Consider the following 20,271-nt stretch of genomic DNA (forward strand, 5'->3'; position numbering starts at 1 on the left):
TGTGGAATTTGTAAGGGGAGATTTCAAGCACTTTGAGGCCATTGGTGGAAAAGGGAATATCTTCGTATAAAAACTAGACAGAAGCATTCTCAGGAACTACTTTGTGATATGTGCATTCAACTCACAGGTTTTAACCTTTCTTTTCATAGATGAGTTTGGAAACAGTCAGTTTGGAAATTCTGCAACTGGATATTTGGACCTCTTTGAGGCTTTCGTTGGAAACGGGATTTCTTCACATAATGCTAGACAGAAGAATTCGCAGTAACTTCTTTTGGGATGTATGTATTCAACTCAGAGAGTTGAACCTTCCTTTAGACAGAGCGCATAGGAAACACGCTTTTTGCGGAATTTTCAGGTGGAGATTCCAAGAGCCTTGAGACCAATGGTAGAAAAGGCTATCTTCGTATAAAAACTAGAGGGAATCATTCTCAGAAACTGCTTTGTGATGTGCATATTAAACTCACAGATTTGAACATTTCTTTGCATAGAGCAGTATGGAAAGACTTAGTTTGTGCAGTGTGCAAGTGGATATTTGGAACTCTTTGAGGCCTTCGTTGGAAACGGGATTTCTTCTTATAATTCTTGACAAAAGAATTCTCAGTAGCTTCTTTGTGTGTGTGTATTCAACTCACAGAGTTGAACCTTCCTTTAGACAGAGCAGATTGGAAACACTCTTTTTGTGGAATTTGCAAGTGGAGAATTCTAGCGCTTTGACGCCAATGGTAGAAAGGAAATATCTTCGTATAAAAACTAGACAGTATCATTCTCAGAAGCTACTTTGTGATGTGTGCGTTCAACTCACAGAGTTTAACCTTCCTTTTCATAGAGCAGTTTGGAAACCCTCTGTTTGTGAAGTCTGCAAGTGGATATTTAAACGTCTTTGAGGCCTTCGTTGGAAACGGGATTTTTTCATATAAACCAGGACAGAAGAATTCTCAGAAACTTCTTGATTGTTATGTGTGCATTCAACTCACAGAGTTGAACCTTACTTTGGAAAGAGCAGTTTTCTAACACTCTTTTTGTAAAAGTTCCAAGTGAATACTTTGAGTGCTTTGAAGCCTACGGTTGACAACGAAATATCTTCATGTAAAAACTACAAAGAATCATTCGCAGAAACCACGTTGTGATCTCTGCATTCAACTCACAGAGTTGAACCTTTCTTCCTATAGAGCAGTTATGAAACAGTCTCTTTGTAGAATTTGCAAGGGTGTATTTAGAGGGCATTGAAGCCTACGGTAGAAAAGGAAATATCTTACCATAAAATCTAGTCAGAAGCATTCTCAGAAACTGAGTTGTGATGTTTGCATTCAACTCACAGAGTTCAACATTCCTTTTAATGGAGCGGTTTTGAAACACTCTTTTTGCAGAATCTGCAAGTGGATATTTGGACCTCTTTGAGGCCTTCATTGGAAACGGGATTTCTTCATGTAATGCCAGACAGAAGAATTCTCAGTGAATTCTTTCTGTGTGTGTGTATTCAACTCACAGAGTTGAACGTTCCTTTAGACAGAGTAGATTGGAAACACTCTTTTTGTGGAATTTTCAGGTGGAGGTATCAAGCGCTTTGAGGCCAATGATAGAAAAGGAAATACCTTCGTATAATAATTAGACGGAATCATTCTCAGAAACTGCTTTGCAATGTGTGCGTTCAACTCACAGTGTTTAACCTTTCTTTTCATACAGTTGTTTCGAAACACTCTTTTTGCAGAATCTGCAAGTGGATATTTGGACCTCTTTGAAGTCTTCGTTGGAAATGGGATTTCTTCATATAATGCTAGACAGAAGACTTCTCAGTAACTGCTTTTTCTGGTGTGTATTCAACTCTCAGAGTTGAACTTTCCTTTAGAAACAGCAGATTTGAAACTCTCTTTTTGTGGAATTTGCAAGTGGAGATTTCAGAGCTTTGAGGCCAATGGTAGAAAAGGAAATATCTTCGTATGCAAACTAGACAGAATCATTCTCAGAAACTACTTTGGTACGTGTGTGTTCAACTCACAGTGTTTAACCTTTCTTTTCATAGAGCAGTTTGGAAACACTCAGTTTGTAAAGTCAGCAACTGGATATTTGGATGTATTTGAGGCCTTCGTTGGAAACGGGATTTCTTCATATAGTGCTAGACAGAAGAATTCTCAGTAACTTCTTTGGGTTGTGGGTATTCAACTCACAGAGTTGAAGCTTCCTTTAGGCGGAGCAGATTGGAAACACTTTTTGTGGAATTTTCAGGGGGAGACTTCAAGCGCTTTGAAGTGAATGGTAGAAAAGGAAATATCTTCGTATAAAAACTAGACGGAGTCATTCTCAGAAACTACTTTGTGATGTTTGCGTTAAACTCACAGAGTTTAACGTTTCTTTTCATAGAGCAGTTTGGAAACACTCTTTTTGCAGAATCTGCAAGTGGATATTTAGACCTCTTTGTGGCCTTCGTTGGAAACGGGATTTTTCATATAATGCTAGACAGAAGAATTCTCAGTAACTTCTTTTTGTGGTGTGTATTCAACTCACAGAGTTGAACCTTCCTTTAGACAGAGCAGATTTGAAACTCTCTTTTTGTGGAATTTGCAAGTGGAGATTTCAAGCGCTTTGAGGCCAACGGTAGAAAAGGAAATATCTTCGTAGAAAAAATAGACGGAATCATTCTCAGAAACTGCTTTGGGATGTGTGCATTGAACTCACAGTGTTTAACACTTCTTTTCATAGAGCACTTTGGAAACAGTCAGTTTGGAATGTCTGCAGCTGGATATTTGGACCTCTTTGAGGCCTTCGTAGTAAACGGGATTTCTTCGGGTAATGATAGACAATAGAATTCTCAGTGAATTTTTTTCTGTGTGTGTGTATTCAACTCACAGGGTTGAACCTTCCTTCAGACAGTACAGATTTGAAACACTTTTCTGTGGAATTTGCAAGGGGAGATTTCAAGCACTTTGTGGCCATTGGTGGAAAAGGGAATATCTTCGTATAAAAACTAGACAGAGTCATTGTCAGGAACTACTTTGTGATATGTGCATTCAACTCACAGAGTTTAACCTTTCTTTTCATAGATGAGTTTGGAAACAGTCAGTTTGTAAATTCTGCAACTGGATATTTGGACCTCTTTGAGGCTTTCGTTGGAAACGGGATTTCTTCACATAATGCTAGACAGAAGAATTCTCAGTAACTTCTTTTGGGATGTATGTATTCAACTCAGAGAGTTGAACCTTCCTTTAGACAGAGCGGATTGGAAACACGCTTTTTGCGGAATTTTCAGGTGGAGATTCCAAGAGCCTTGAGGCCAATGGTAGAAAAGGCTATCTTCGTATAAAAACTAGAGGGAATCATTCTCAGAAACTGCTTTGTGATGTGTGCATTAAACTCACAGAGTTGAACATTTCTTTGCATAGAGCAGTTTGGAAAGACTTAGTTTGTACAGTGTGCAAGTGGATATTTGGAACTCTTTGAGGCCTTCGTTGGAAACGGGATTTCTTCTTATAATTCTTGACAAAAGAATTCTCAGTAGCTTCTTTGTGTGTGTGTATTCAACTCACAGAGTTGAACCTTCCTTTAGGCAGAGCAGATTGGAAACCCACTTTTTGTGGAATTGGCAAGTGGAGAATTCTAGCGCTTTGACGCCAATGGTAGGAAAGGAAATATCTCCGTATAAAAACTAGACAGTATCATTCTGAGAAACTACTTTGTGATGTGTGCGTTCAACTCACAGAGTTTAACCTTTCTTTTCATAGAGCAGTTTGGAAACACTCTGTTTGTGAAGTCTGCAAGAGGATATTTAAACGTCTTTGAGGCCTTCGTTGGAAACGGGATTTTTTCATATAAACCAGGACAGAAGAATTCTCAGAAACTTCTTGTTTGTTATGTGTGCATTCAACTCACAGAGTTGAACCTTACTTCGGAAAGAGCAGTTTTCTAACACTCTTTTTGTAAAAGTTCCAAGTGAATACTTTGAGTGCTTTGAAGCCTACGGTAGACAACGAAATATCTTCATGTAAAAACTGCAAAGAATCATTCGTCGAAACCACGTTGTGATCTCTGCATTCAACTCACAGAGTTCAACCTTTCTTCCTATAGAGCAGTTATTAAACAGTCTCTTTGTAGAATTTGCAAGGGTGTATTTAGAGGGCATTGAGGCCTACGGTAGAAAAGGAAATATCTGACCATAAAATCTAGTCAGAAGCATTCTCAGAAACTGAGTTGTGATGTTTGCATTCAACTCACAGAGTTCAACATTCCTTTTCATAGAGCGGTTTTGAAACACTCTTTTTCCAGAATCTGCAAGTGGATATTTGGACCTCTTTGAGGCCTTCGTTGGAAACGGGATTTCTTCATGTAATCCCAGACAGAAGAACTCTCAGTGAATTCTTTCTGTGTGTGTGTACTCAACTCACAGAGTTGAACGTTCCCTTAGACAGAGTAGATTGGAAACACTCTTTTTGTGGAATGTTCACGTGGAGGTATCAAGCGCTTTGAGGCCCATGATAGAAAAGGAAATACCTTCGTATAATAATTAGATGGAATCATTCTCAGAAACTGCTTTGCAATGTGTGCCTTCAACTCACAGTGTTTAACCTTTCTTTTCATACAGTTGTTTCGAAACACCCTTTTTGCGGAATCTGGAAGTGGATATTTGGACCTCTTTGAAGTCTTCGTTGGAAATGGGATTTCTTCATATAATGCTAGACAGAAGACTTCTCAGTAACTGGTTTTTCTGGTGTGTATTCAACTCTCAGAGTTGAACTTTCCTTTAGAAACAGCAGATATGAAACTCTCTTTTTGTGGAATTTGCAAGTGGAGATTTCAAAGCATTGAGGCCAATGGTAGAAAAGGAAATATCTTCGTATGCCAACTAGACAGAATCATTCTCAGAAACTACTTTGGTACGTGTGTGTTCAACTCACAGTGTTTAACCTTTCCTTTCATAGAGCAGCTTGGAAACACTCAGTTTGTAAAGTCAGCCACTGGATATTTGGATGTATTTGAGGCCTTCGTTGGAAACGGGATTTCTTCATATAATGCTAGACAGAAGAATTCTCAGTAACTTCTTTGTGTTGTGGGTATTCAACTCACAGAGTTGAAGCTTCCTTTAGGCGGAGCAGATTGGAAACACTTTTTGTGGAATTTTCAGGGGGAGACTTCAAGCGCTTTGAGGCCAACGGTAGAAAAGGAAATATCTTCGTATAAAAACTAGACGGAGTCATTCTCAGAAACTACTTTGTGATGTTTGCGTTCAACTCACAGAGTTTAACGTTTCTTTTCATAGAGCAGTTTGGAGACACTCTTTTTGCAGAATCTGCAAGTGGATATTTGGACCTCTTTGTGGCCTTCGTTGGAAACGGGATTTTTCATATAATGCTAGACAGAAGAATTCTCAGTAACTTCTTTTTGTGGTGTGTATTCAACTCACAGAGTTGAACCTTCCTTTAGACAGAGCAGATTTGAAACTCTCTTTTTGTGGAATTTGCAAGTGGAGATTTCAAGCGCTTTGAGGCCAACGGTAGAAAAGGAAATATCTTCGTAGAAAAAATAGACGGAATCATTCTCAGAAACTGCTTTGGGATGTGTGCATTGAACTCACAGTGTTTAACACTTCTTTTCATAGAGCACTTTGGAAACAGTCAGTTTGGAATGTCTGCAGCTGGATATTTGGACCTCTTTGAGGCCTTCGTAGTAAACGGGATTTCTTCGGGTAATGATAGACAATAGAATTCTCAGTGAATTTTTTTCTGTGTGTGTGTATTCAACTCACAGGGTTGAACCTTCCTTCAGACAGTACAGATTTGAAACACTTTTCTGTGGAATTTGCAAGGGGAGATTTCAAGCACTTTGTGGCCATTGGTGGAAAAGGGAATATCTTCGTATAAAAACTAGACAGAATCATTCTCAGGAACTACTTTGTGATATGTGCATTCAACTCCCAGAGTTTAACCTTTCTTTTCATAGATGAGTTTGGAAACAGTCAGTTTGTAAATTCTGCAACTGGATATTTGGACCTCTTTGAGGCTTTCGTTGGAAACGGGATTTACTTCACATAATGCTAGACAGAAGAATTCTCAGTAACTTCTTTTGGGATGTATGTATTCAAATCAGAGAGTTGAACCTTCCTTTAGACAGAGCGGATTGGAAACACTCTTTTTGTGGAATTTGCAAGTGGAAAATTCTAGCAGTATGAGGCCAATGGTACAAAAGGAAATATTCTTCGTATAAAAACTAGACAGTAATCATTCTCAGAAACTGCTTTGTGATGTGTGTATTAAACTCACAGAGTTGAACATTTCTTTGCATAGAGCAGTTTGGAAAGACTTAGTTTGTGCAGTGTGCAAGTGGATATTTGGAACTCTTTGAGGCCTTCGTTGGAAACGGGATTTCTTCTTATAATTCTTGACAAAAGAATTCTCAGTAGCTTCTTTGTGTGTGTGTATTCAACTCACAGAGTTGAACCTTCCTTTAGACAGAGCAGATTGGAAACACTCTTTTTGTGGAATTTGCAAGTGGAGAATTCTAGCGCTTTGACGCCAATGGTAGAAAGGAAATATCTTCGTATAAAAACTAGACAGTATCATTCTCAGAAACTACTTTGTGATGTGTGCGTTCAACTCACAGAGTTTAACCTTTCTTTTCATAGAGCAGTTTGGAAACCCTCTGTTTGTGAAGTCTGCAAGTGGATATTTAAACGTCTTTGAGGCCTTCGTTGGAAACGGGATTTGTTCCTATAAACCAGGACAGAAGAATTCTCAGAAACTTCTTGATTGTTATGTGTGCATTCAACTCACAGAGTTGAACCTTACTTTGGAAAGAGCAGTTTTCTAACACTCTTTTTGTAAAAGTTCCAAGTGAATACTTTGAGTGCTTTGAAGCCTACGGTTGACAACGAAATATCTTCATGTAAAAACTACAAAGAATCATTCGCAGAAACCACGTTGTGATCTCTGCATTCAACTCACAGAGTTGAACCTTTCTTCCTATAGAGCAGTTATGAAACAGTCTCTTTGTAGAATTTGCAAGGGTGTATTTAGAGGGCATTGAAGCCTACGGTAGAAAAGGAAATATCTTACCATAAAATCTAGTCAGAAGCATTCTCAGAAACTGAGTTGTGATGTTTGCATTCAACTCACAGAGTTCAACATTCCTTTTAATGGAGCGGTTTTGAAACACTCTTTTTGCAGAATCTGCAAGTGGATATTTGGACCTCTTTGAGGCCTTCGTTGGAAACGGGATTTCTTCATGTAATGCCAGACAGAAGAATTCTCAGTGAATTCTTTCTGTGTGTGTGTATTCAACTCACAGAGTTGAACGTTCCTTTAGACAGAGTAGATTGGAAACACTCTTTTTGTGGAATTTTCAGGTGGAGGTATCAAGCGCTTTGAGGCCAATGATAGAAAAGGAAATACCTTCGGTATAATAATTAGACGGAATCATTCTCAGAAACTGCTTTGCAATGTGTGCGTTCAACTCACAGTGTTTAACCTTTCTTTTCATACAGTTGTTTCGAAACACTCTTTTTGCAGAATCTGCAAGTGGATATTTGGACCTCTTTGAAGTCTTCGTTGGAAATGGGATTTCTTCATATAATGCTAGACAGAAGACTTCTCAGTAACTGCTTTTTCTGGTGTGTATTCAACTCTCAGAGTTGAACTTTCCTTTAGAAACAGCAGAGTTGAAACTCTCTTTTTGTGGAATTTGCAAGTGGAGATTTCAAAGCTTTGAGGCCAATGGTAGAAAAGGAAATATCTTCGTATGCAAACTAGACAGAATCATTCTCAGAAACTACTTTGGTACGTGTGTGTTCAACTCACAGTGTTTAACCTTTCTTTTCATAGAGCAGTTTGGAAACACTCAGTTTGTAAAGTCAGCAACTGGATATTTGGATGTATTTGAGGCCTTCGTTGGAAACGGGATTTCTTCATATAATGCTAGACAGAAGAATTCTCAGTAACTTCTTTGGGTTGTGGGCATTCAAGTCACAGAGTTGAAGCTTCCTTTAGGCGGAGCAGATTGGAAACACTTTTTGTGGAATTTTCAGGGGGAGACTTCAAGCGCTTTGAAGTGAATGGTAGAAAAGGAAATATCTTCGTATAAAAACTAGACGGAGTCATTCTCAGAAACTACTTTGTGATGTTTGCGTTCAACTCACAGAGTTTAACGTTTCTTTTCATAGAGCAGTTTGGAAACACTCTTTTTGCAGAATCTGCAAGTGGATATTTGGACCTCTTTGTGGCCTTCGTTGGAAACGGGATTTTTCATATAATGCTAGACAGAAGAATTCTCAGTAACTTCTTTTTGTGGTGTGTATTCAACTCACAGAGTTGAACCTTCCTTTAGACAGAGCAGATTTGAAACTCTCTTTTTGTGGAATTTGCAAGTGGAGATTTCAAGCGCTTTGAGGCCAACGGCAGAAAAGGAAATATCTTCGTAGAAAAAATAGACGGAATCATTCTCAGAAACTGCTTTGGGATGTGTGCATTGAACTCACAGTGTTTAACACTTCTTTTCATAGAGCACTTTGGAAACACTCAGTTTGTAATGTCTGCAGCTGGATATTTGGACCTCTTTGAGGCCTTCGTAGTAAACGGGATTTCTTCGTGTAATGATAGACAATAGAATTCTCAGTGAATTTTTTTCTGTGTGTGTGTATTCAACTCACAGGGTTGAACCTTCCTTTAGACAGTGCAGATTTGAAACACTTGTCTGTGGAATTTGCAAGGGGAGATTTCAAGCACTTTGAGGCCATTGGTGGAAAAGGAAATATCTTCGTATGAAAACTAGACAGAATCATTCTCAGGAACTACTTTGTGATATGTGCATTCAACTCACAGAGTTTAACCTTTCTTTTCATAGATGAGTTTGGAAACAGTCAGTTTGTAAATTCTGCAACTGGATATTTGGACCTCTTTGAGGCTTTCGTTGGAAACGGGATTTCTTCACATAATGCTAGACAGAAGAATTCTCAGTAACTTCTTTTGGGATGTATGTATTCAAATCAGAGAGTTGAACCTTCCTTTAGACAGAGCGGATTGGAAACACTCTTTTTGTGGAATTTGCAAGTGGAAAATTCTAGCAATATGAGGCCAATGGTACAAAAGGAAATATCTTCGTATAAAAACTAGACAGTATCATTCTCAGAAACTGCTTTGTGATGTGTGTATTAAACTCACAGAGTTGAACATTTCTTTGCATAGAGCAGTTTGGAAAGACTTAGTTTGTGCAGTGTGCAAGTGGATATTTGGAACTCTTTGAGGCCTTCGTTGGAAACGGGATTTCTTCTTATAATTCTTGACAAAAGAATTCTCAGTAGCTTCTTTGTGTGTGTGTATTCAACTCACAGAGTTGAACCTTCCTTTAGACAGAGCAGATTGGAAACACTCTTTTTGTGGAATTTGCAAGTGGAGAATTCTAGCGCTTTGACGCCAATGGTAGAAAGGAAATATCTTCGTATAAAAACTAGACAGTATCATTCTCAGAAGCTACTTTGTGATGTGTGCGTTCAACTCACAGAGTTTAACCTTCCTTTTCATAGAGCAGTTTGGAAACCCTCTGTTTGTGAAGTCTGCAAGTGGATATTTAAACGTCTTTGAGGCCTTCGTTGGAAACGGGATTTCTTCATATAAACCAGGACAGAAGAATTCTCAGAAACTTCTTGATTGTTATGTGTGCATTCAACTCACAGAGTTGAACCTTACTTTGGAAAGAGCAGTTTTCTAACACTCTTTTTGTAAAAGTTCCAAGTGAATACTTTGAGTGCTTTGAAGCCTACGGTTGACAACGAAATATCTTCATGTAAAAACTACAAAGAATCATTCGCAGAAACCACGTTGTGATCTCTGCATTCAACTCACAGAGTTGAACCTTTCTTCCTATAGAGCAGTTATGAAACAGTCTCTTTGTAGAATTTGCAAGGGTGTATTTAGAGGGCATTGAAGCCTACGGTAGAAAAGGAAATATCTTACCATAAAATCTAGTCAGAAGCATTCTCAGAAACTGAGTTGTGATGTTTGCATTCAACTCACAGAGTTCAACATTCCTTTTAATGGAGCGGTTTTGAAACACTCTTTTTGCAGAATCTGCAAGTGGATATTTGGACCTCTTTGAGGCCTTCGTTGGAAACGGGATTTCTTCATGTAATGCCAGACAGAAGAATTCTCAGTGAATTCTTTCTGTGTGTGTGTATTCAACTCACAGAGTTGAACGTTCCTTTAGACAGAGTAGATTGGAAACACTCTTTTTGTGGAATTTTCAGGTGGAGGTATCAAGCGCTTTGAGGCCAATGATAGAAAAGGAAATACCTTCGTATAATAATTAGACGGAATCATTCTCAGAAACTGCTTTGCAATGTGTGCGTTCAACTCACAGTGTTTAACCTTTCTTTTCATACAGTTGTTTCGAAACACTCTTTTTGCAGAATCTGCAGGTGGATATTTGGACCTCTTTGAAGTCTTCGTTGGAAATGGGATTTCTTCATATAATGCTAGACAGAAGACTTCTCAGTAACTGCTTTTTCTGGTGTGTATTCAACTCTCAGAGTTGAACTTTCCTTTAGAAACAGCAGATTTGAAACTCTCTTTTTGTGGAATTTGCAAGTGGAGATTTCAGAGCTTTGAGGCCAATGGTAGAAAAGGAAATATCTTCGTATGCAAACTAGACAGAATCATTCTCAGAAACTACTTTGGTACGTGTGTGTTCAACTCACAGTGTTTAACCTTTCTTTTCATAGAGCAGTTTGGAAACACTCAGTTTGTAAAGTCAGCAACTGGATATTTGGATGTATTTGAGGCCTTCGTTGGAAACGGGATTTCTTCATATAATGCTAGACAGAAGAATTCTCAGTAACTTCTTTGGGTTGTGGGTATTCAAGTCACAGAGTTGAAGCTTCCTTTAGGCGGAGCAGATTGGAAACACTTTTTGTGGAATTTTCAGGGGGAGACTTCAAGCGCTTTGAAGTGAATGGTAGGAAAGGAAATATCTTCGTATAAAAACTAGACGGAGTCATTCTCAGAAACTACTTTGTGATGTTTGCGTTCAACTCACAGAGTTTAACGTTTCTTTTCATAGAGCAGTTTGGAAACACTCTTTTTGCAGAATCTGCAAGTGGATATTTGGACCTCTTTGTGGCCTTCGTTGGAAACGGGATTTTTCATATAATGCTAGACAGAAGAATTCTCAGTAACTTCTTTTTGTGGTGTGTATTCAACTCACAGAGTTGAACCTTCCTTTAGACAGAGCAGATTTGAAACTCTCTTTTTGTGGAATTTGCAAGTGGAGATTTCAAGCGCTTTGAGGCCAACGGCAGAAAAGGAAATATCTTCGTAGAAAAAATAGACGGAATCATTCTCAGAAACTGCTTTGGGATGTGTGCATTGAACTCACAGTGTTTAACACTTCTTTTCATAGAGCACTTTGGAAACACTCAGTTTGTAATGTCTGCAGCTGGATATTTGGACCTCTTTGAGGCCTTCGTAGTAAACGGGATTTCTTCGTGTAATGATAGACAATAGAATTCTCAGTGAATTTTTTTCTGTGTGTGTGTATTCAACTCACAGGGTTGAACCTTCCTTTAGACAGTGTAGATTTGAAACACTTGTCTGTGGAATTTGCAAGGGGAGATTTCAAGCACTTTGAGGCCATTGGTGGAAAAGGAAATATCTTCGTATAAAAACTAGACAGAATCATTCTCAGGAACTACTTTGTGATATGTGCATTCAACTCCCAGAGTTTAACCTTTCTTTTCATAGATGAGTTTGGAAACAGTCAGTTTGTAAATTCTGCAACTGGATATTTGGACCTCTTTGAGGCTTTCGTTGGAAACGGGATTTCTTCACATAATGCTAGACAGAAGAATTCTCAGTAACTTCTTTTGGGATGTATGTATTCAAATCAGAGAGTTGAACCTTCCTTTAGACAGAGCGGATTGGAAACACTCTTTTTGTGGAATTTGCAAGTGGAAAATTCTAGCAGTATGAGGCCAATGGTACAAAAGGAAATATCTTCGTATAAAAACTAGACAGTATCATTCTCAGAAACTGCTTTGTGATGTGTGTATTAAACTCACATAGTTGAACATTTCTTTGCATAGAGCAGTTTGGAAAGACTTAGTTTGTGCAGTGTGCAAGTGGATATTTGGAACTCTTTGAGGCCTTCGTTGGAAACGGGATTTCTTCTTATAATTCTTGACAAAAGAATTCTCAGTAGCTTCTTTGTGTGTGTGTATTCAACTCACAGAGTTGAACCTTCCTTGAGACAGAGCAGATTGGAAACACTCTTTTTGTGGAATTTGCAAGTGGAGAATTCTAGCGCTTTGACGCCAATGGTAGAAAGGAAATATCTTCGTATAAAAACTAGACAGTATCATTCTCAGAAACTACTTTGTGATGTGTGCGTTCAACTCACAGAGTTTAACCTTTCTTTTCATAGAGCAGTTTGGAAACACTCTGTTTGTGAAGTCTGCAAGTGGATATTTAAACGTCTTTGAGGCCTTCGTTGGAAACGGGATTTTTTCATATAAACCAGGACAGAAGAATTCTCAGAAACTTCTTGATTGTTATGGGTGCATTCAACTCACAGAGTTGAACCTTACTTTGGAAAGAGCAGTTTTCTAACACTCTTTTTGTAAAAGTTCCAAGTGAATACTTTGAGTGCTTTGAAGCCTACGGTTGACAACGAAATATCTTCATGTAAAAACTACAAAGAATCATTCGCAGAAACCACGTTGTGATCTCTGCATTCAACTCACAGAGTTGAACCTTTCTTCCTATAGAGCAGTTATGAAACAGTCTCTTTGTAGAATTTGCAAGGGTGTATTTAGAGGGCATTGAAGCCTACGGTAGAAAAGGAAATATCTTACCATAAAATCTAGTCAGAAGCATTCTCAGAAACTGAGTTGTGATGTTTGCATTCAACTCACAGAGTTCAACATTCCTTTAAATGGAGCGGTTTTGAAACACTCTTTTTGCAGAATCTGCAAGTGGATATTTGGACCTCTTTGAGGCCTTCGTTGGAAACGGGATTTCTTCATGTAATGCCAGACAGAAGAATTCTCAGTGAATTCTTTCTGTGTGTGTGTATTCAACTCACAGAGTTGAACGTTCCTTTAGACAGAGTAGATTGGAAACACTCTTTTTGTGGAATTTTCAGGTGGAGGTATCAAGCGCTTTGAGGCCAATGATAGAAAAGGAAATACCTTCGTATAATAATTAGACGGAATCATTCTCAGAAACTGCTTTGCAATGTGTGCGTTCAACTCACAGTGTTTAACCTTTCTTTTCATACAGTTGTTTCGAAACACTCTTTTTGCAGAATCTGCAAGTGGATATTTGGACCTCTTTGAAGTCTTCGTTGGAAATGGGATTTCTTCATATAATGCTAGACAGAAGACTTCTCAGTAACTGCTTTTTCTGGTGTGTATTCAACTCTCAGAGTTGAACTTTCCTTTAGAAACAGCAGATTTGAAACTCTCTTTTTGTGGAATTTGCAAGTGGAGATTTCAGAGCTTTGAGGCCAATGGTAGAAAAGGAAATATCTTCGTATGCAAACTAGACAGAATCATTCTCAGAAACTACTTCGGTACGTGTGTGTTCAACTCACAGTGTTTAACCTTTCTTTTCATAGAGCAGTTTGGAAACACTCAGTTTGTAAAGTCAGCAACTGGATATTTGGATGTATTTGAGGCCTTCGTTGGAAACGGGATTTCTTCATATAATGCTAGACAGAAGAATTCTCAGTAACTTCTTTGGGTTGTGGGTATTCAAGTCACAGAGTTGAAGCTTCCTTTAGGCGGAGCAGATTGGAAACACTTTTTGTGGAATTTTCAGGGGGAGACTTCAAGCGCTTTGAAGTGAATGGTAGGAAAGGAAATATCTTCGTATAAAAACTAGACGGAGTCATTCTCAGAAACTACTTTGTGATGTTTGCGTTCAACTCACAGAGTTTAACGTTTCTTTTCATAGAGCAGTTTGGAAACACTCTTTTTGCAGAATCTGCAAGTGGATATTTGGACCTCTTTGTGGCCTTCGTTGGAAACGGGATTTTTCATATAATGCTAGACAGAAGAATTCTCAGTAACTTCTTTTTGTGGTGTGTATTCAACTCACAGAGTTGAACCTTCCTTTAGACAGAGCAGATTTGAAACTCTCTTTTTGTGGAATTTGCAAGTGGAGATTTCAAGCGCTTTGAGGCCAACGGCAGAAAAGGAAATATCTTCGTAGAAAAAATAGACGGAATCATTCTCAGAAACTGCTTTGGGATGTGTGCATTGAACTCACAGTGTTTAACACTTCTTTTCATAGAGCACTTTGGAAACACTCAGGTTGTAATGTCTGCAGCTGGATATTTGGACCTCTTTGAGGCCTTCGTAGTAAACGGGATTTCTTCGTGTAATGATAGACAATAGAATTCTCAGTGAATTTTTTTCTGTGTGTGTGTATTCAACTCACAGGGTTGAACCTTCCTTTAGACAGTGCAGATTTGAAACACTTGTCTGTGGAATTTGCAAGGGGAGATTTCAAGCACTTTGAGGCCATTGGTGGAAAAGGAAATATCTTCGTATGAAAACTAGACAGAATCATTCTCAGGAACTACTTTGTGATATGTGCATTCAACTCCCAGAGTTTAACCTTTCTTTTCATAGATGAGTTTGGAAACAGTCAGTTTGTAAATTCTGCAACTGGATATTTGGACCTCTTTGAGGCTTTCGTTGGAAACGGGATTTCTTCACATAATGCTAGACAGAAGAATTCTCAGTAACTTCTTTTGGGATGTATGTATTCAAATCAGAGAGTTGAACCTTCCTTTAGACAGAGCGGATTGGAAACACTCTTTTTGTGGAATTTGCAAGTGGAAAATTCTAGCAGTATGAGGCCAATGGTACAAAAGGAAATATCTTCGTATAAAAACTAGACAGTATCATTCTCAGAAACTGCTTTGTGATGTGTGTATTAAACTCACAGAGTTGAACATTTCTTTGCATAGAGCAGTTTGGAAAGACTTAGTTTGTGCAGTGTGCAAGTGGATATTTGGAACTCTTTGAGGCCTTCGTTGGAAACGGGATTTCTTCTTATAATTCTTGACAAAAGAATTCTCAGTAGCTTCTTTGTGTGTGTGTATTCAACTCACAGAGTTGAACCTTCCTTTAGACAGAGCAGATTGGAAACACTCTTTTTGTGGAATTTGCAAGTGGAGAATTCTAGCGCTTTGACGCCAATGGTAGAAAGGAAATATACTTCGTATAAAAACTAGACAGTATCATTCTCAGTAAGCTACTTTGTGATGTGTGCGTTCAACTCACAGAGTTTAACCTTTCTTTTCATAGAGCAGTTTGGAAACCCTCTGTTTGTGAAGTCTGCAAGTGGATATTTAAACGTCTTTGAGGCCTTCGTTGGAAACGGGATTTCTTCATATAAACCAGGACAGAAGAATTCTCAGAAACTTCTTGATTGTTATGTGTGCATTCAACTCACAGAGTTGAACCTTACTTTGGAAAGAGCAGTTTTCTAACACTCTTTTTGTAAAAGTTCCAAGTGAATACTTTGAGTGCTTTGAAGCCTACGGTTGAGAACGAAATATCTTCATGTAAAATCTACAAAGAATCATTCGCAGAAACCACGTTGTGATCTCTGCATTCAACTCACAGAGTTGAACCTTTCTTCCTATAGAGCAGTTATGAAACAGTCTCTTTGTAGAATTTGCAAGGGTGTATTTAGAGGGCATTGAAGCCTACGGTAGAAAAGGAAATATCTTACCATAAAATCTAGTCAGAAGCATTCTCAGCAACTGAGTTGTGATGTTTGCATTCAACTCACAGAGTTCAACATTCCTTTTAATGGGAGCGGTTTTGAAACACTCTTTTTGCAGAATCTGCAAGTGGATATTTGGACCTCTTTGAGGCCTTCGTTGGAAACGGGATTTCTTCATGTAATGCCAGACAGAAGAATTCTCAGTGAATTCTTTCTGTGTGTGTGTATTCAACTCACAGAGTTGAACGTTCCTTTAGACAGAGTAGATTGGAAACACTCTTTTTGTGGAATTTTCAGGTGGAGGTATCAAGCGCTTTGAGGCCAATGATAGAAAAGGAAATACCTTCGTATAATAATTAGACGGAATCATTCTCAGAAACTGCTCTGCAATGTGTGCGTTCAACTCACAGTGTTTAACCTTTCTTTTCATACAGTTGTTTCGAAACACTCTTTTTGCAGAATCTGCAAGTGGATATTTGGACCTCTTTGAAGTCTTCGTTGGAAATGGGATTTCTTCATATAATGCTAGACAGAAGACTTCTCAGTAACTGCTTTTTCTGGTGTGTATTCAACTCTCAGAGTTGAACTTTCCTTTAGAATCAGCAGAGTTGAAACTCTCTTTTTGTGGAATTTGCAAGTGGAGATTTCAAAGCTTTGAGGCCAATGGTAGAAAAGGAAATATCTTCGTATGCAAACTAGACAGAATCATTCTCAGAAACTACTTTGGTACGTGTGTGTTCAACTCACAGTGTTTAACCTTTCTTTTCATAGAGCAGTTTGGAAACACTCAGTTTGTAAAGTCAGCAACTGGATATTTGGATGTATTTGAGGCCTTCGTTGGAAACGGGATTTCTTCATATAATGCTAGACAGAAGAATTCTCAGTAACTTCTTTGGGTTGTGGGTATTCAACTCACAGAGTTGAAGCTTCCTTTAGGCGGAGCAGATTGGAAACACTTTTTGTGGAATTTTCAGGGGGAGACTTCAAGCGCTTTGAAGTGAATGGTAGGAAAGGAAATATCTTCGTATAAAAACTAGACGGAGTCATTCTCAGAAACTACTTTGTGATGTTTGCGTTCAACTCACAGAGTTTAACGTTTCTTTTCATAGAGCAGTTTGGAAACACTCTTTTTGCAGAATCTGCAAGTGGATATTTGGACCTCTTTGTGGCCTTCGTTGGAAACGGGATTTTTCATATAATGCTAGACAGAAGAATTCTCAGTAACTTCTTTTTGTGGTGTGTATTCAACTCACAGAGTTGAACCTTCCTTTAGACAGAGCAGATTTGAAACTCTCTTTTTGTGGAATTTGCAAGTGGAGATTTCAAGCGCTTTGAGGCCAACGGCAGAAAAGGAAATATCTTCGTAGAAAAAATAGACGGAATCATTCTCAGAAACTGCTTTGGGATGTGTGCATTGAACTCACAGTGTTTAACACTTCTTTTCATAGAGCACTTTGGAAACACTCAGTTTGTAATGTCTGCAGCTGGATATTTGGACCTCTTTGAGGCCTTCGTAGTAAACGGGATTTCTTCGTGTAATGATAGACAATAGAATTCTCAGTGAATTTTTTTCTGTGTGTGTGTATTCAACTCACAGGGTTGAACCATCCTTTAGACAGTGCAGATTTGAAACACTTGTCTGTGGAATTTGCAAGGGGAGATTTCAAGCACTTTGAGGCCATTGGTGGAAAAGGAAATATCTTCGTATGAAAACTATACAGAATCATTCTCAGGAACTACTTTGTGATATGCGCATTCAACTCACAGAGTTTAACATTTCTTTTCATAGATGAGTTGGAAACAGTCAGTTTGTAAATGCTGCAACTGGATATTTGGGCCTCTTTGAGGCTTTTGTTGGAAACGGGATTTCTTCACATAATGCTAGACAGAAGAATTCTCAGTAACTTCTTTTGGGATGTATGTATTCAAATCAGAGAGTTGAACCTTCCTTTAGACAGAGCGGATTGGAAACACTCTTTTTGTGGAATTTGCAAGTGGAAAATTCTAGCAGTATGAGGCCAATGGTACAAAAGGAAATATCTTCGTATAAAAACTAGACAGTATCATTCTCAGAAACTGCTTTGTGATGTGTGTATTAAACTCACAGAGTTGAACATTTCTTTGCATAGAGCAGTTTGGAAAGACTTAGTTTGTGCAGTGTGCAAGTGGATATTTGGAACTCTTTGAGGCCTTCGTTGGAAACGGGATTTCTTCTTATAATTTCTTGAAAAAAGAAATCTCAGTAGCTTCTTTGTGTGTGTGTATTCAACTCACAGAGTTGAACCTTCCTTTAGACAGAGCAGATTGGAAACACTCTTTTTGTGGAATTTGCAAGTGGAGAATTCTAGCGCTTTGACGCCAATGGTAGAAAGGAAATATCTTCGTATAAATACTAGACAGTATCATTCTCAGAAGCTACTTTGTGATGTGTGCGTTCAACTCACAGAGTTTAACCTTTCTTTTCATAGAGCAGTTTGGAAACCCTCTGTTTGTGAAGTCTGCAAGTGGATATTTAAACGTCTTTGAGGCCTTCGTTGGAAACGGGATTTTTTCATATAAACCAGGACAGAAGAATTCTCAGAAACTTCTTGATTGTTATGTGTGCATTCAACTCACAGAGTTGAACCTTACTTTGGAAAGAGCAGTTTTCTAACACTCTTTTTGTAAAAGTTCCAAGTGAATACTTTGAGTGCTTTGAAGCCTACGGTTGACAACGAAATATCTTCATGTAAAAACTACAAAGAATCATTCGCAGAAACCACGTTGTGATCTCTGCAGTCAACTCACAGAGTTCAACCTTTCTTCCTATAGAGCAGTTATGAAACAGTCTCTTTGTAGAATTTGCAAGGGTGTATTTAGAGGGCATTGAAGCCTACGGTAGAAAAGGAAATATCTTACCATAAAATCTAGTCAGAAGCATTCTCAGAAACTGAGTTGTGATGTTTGCATTCAACTCACAGAGTTCAACATTCCTTTTAATGGAGCGGTTTTGAAACATTCTTTTTGCAGAATCTGCAAGTGGATATTTGGACCTCTTTGAGGCCTTCGTTGGAAACGGGATTTCTTCATGTAATGCCAGACAGAAGAATTCTCAGTGAATTCTTTCTGTGTGTGTGTATTCAACTCACAGAGTTGAACGTTCCTTTAGACAGAGTAGATTGGAAACACTCTTTTTGTGGAATTTTCAGGTGGAGGTATCAAGCGCTTTGAGGCCAATGATAGAAAAGGAAATACCTTCGTATAATAATTAGACGGAATCATTCTCAGAAACCGCTTTGCAATGTGTGCGTTCAACTCACAGTGTTTAACCTTTCTTTTCATACAGTTGTTTCGAAACACTCTTTTTGCAGAATCTGCAAGTGGATATTTGGACCTCTTTGAAGTCTTCGTTGGAAATGGGATTTCTTCATATAATGCTAGACAGAAGACTTCTCAGTAACTGCTTTTTCTGGTGTGTATTCAACTCTCAGAGTTGAACTTTCCTTTAGAAACAGCAGATTTGAAACTCTCTTTTTGTGGAATTTGCAAGTGGAGATTTCAGAGCTTTGAGGCCACTGGTAGAAAAGGAAATATCTTCGTATGCAAACTAGACAGAATCATTCTCAGAAACTACTTTGGTACGTGTGTGTTCAACTCACAGTGTTTAACCTTTCTTTTCATAGAGCAGTTTGGAAACACTCAGTTTGTAAAGTCAGCAACTGGATATTTGGATGTATTTGAGGCCTTCGTTGGAAACGGGATTTCTTCATATAATGCTAGACAGAAGAATTCTCAGTAACTTCTTTGGGTTGTGGGTATTCAACTCACAGAGTTGAAGCTTCCTTTAGGCGGAGCAGATTGGAAACACTTTTTGTGGAATTTTCAGGGGGAGACTTCAAGCGCTTTGAAGTGAATGGTAGGAAAGGAAATATCTTCGTATAAAAACTAGACGGAGTCATTCTCAGAAACTACTTTGTGATGTTTGCGTTCAACTCACAGAGTTTAACGTTTCTTTTCATAGAGCAGTTTGGAAACACTCTTTTTGCAGAATCTGCAAGTGGATATTTGGACCTCTTTGAGGCCTTCGTTGGAAACGGGATTTCTTCATGTAATGCCAGACAGAAGAATTCTCAGTGAATTCTTTCTGTGTGTGTGTATTCAACTCACAGAGTTGAACGTTCCTTTAGACAGAGTAGATTGGAAACACTCTTTTTGTGGAATTTTCAGGTGGAGGTATCAAGCGCTTTGAGGCCAATGATAGAAAAGGAAATACCTTCGTATAATAATTAGACGGAATCATTCTCAGAAACTGCTTTGCAATGTGTGCGTTCAACTCACAGTGTTTAACCTTTCTTTTCATACAGTTGTTTCGAAACACTCTTTTTGCAGAATCTTCAAGTGGATATTTTTTTGGACTTCTTTGAAGTCTTCGTTGGAAAAAGGATTTCTTCATTTAATGCTGGACAGAAGAATTCTCAGTAACTGCTTTTTCTGGTGTGTATTCAACTCACAGAGTTGAACCTTCCTTTAGACAGAGCAGATTTGAAACTCTCTTTTTGTGGTATTTGCAAGTGGAGAATTC

At 38.4% G+C, this 20,271-nt stretch overlaps 1 annotated feature.

Annotated features, from left to right (window-relative positions):
• Nucleotides 1-20,271: part of a centromere (Linear centromere model derived predominantly from reads generated in PMID: 17803354. This region does not represent an actual centromere sequence, as long-range ordering of repeats and unmapped WGS contigs is not provided by the model. For details of model production, see http://arxiv.org/abs/1307.0035.) that runs on past both edges of the window.

The sequence above is a fragment of the Homo sapiens genome, chromosome 3 (genome assembly GCF_000001405.40).
Source record: "Homo sapiens chromosome 3, GRCh38.p14 Primary Assembly".
NCBI classification, from domain to species: Eukaryota; Metazoa; Chordata; class Mammalia; order Primates; family Hominidae; genus Homo; species Homo sapiens.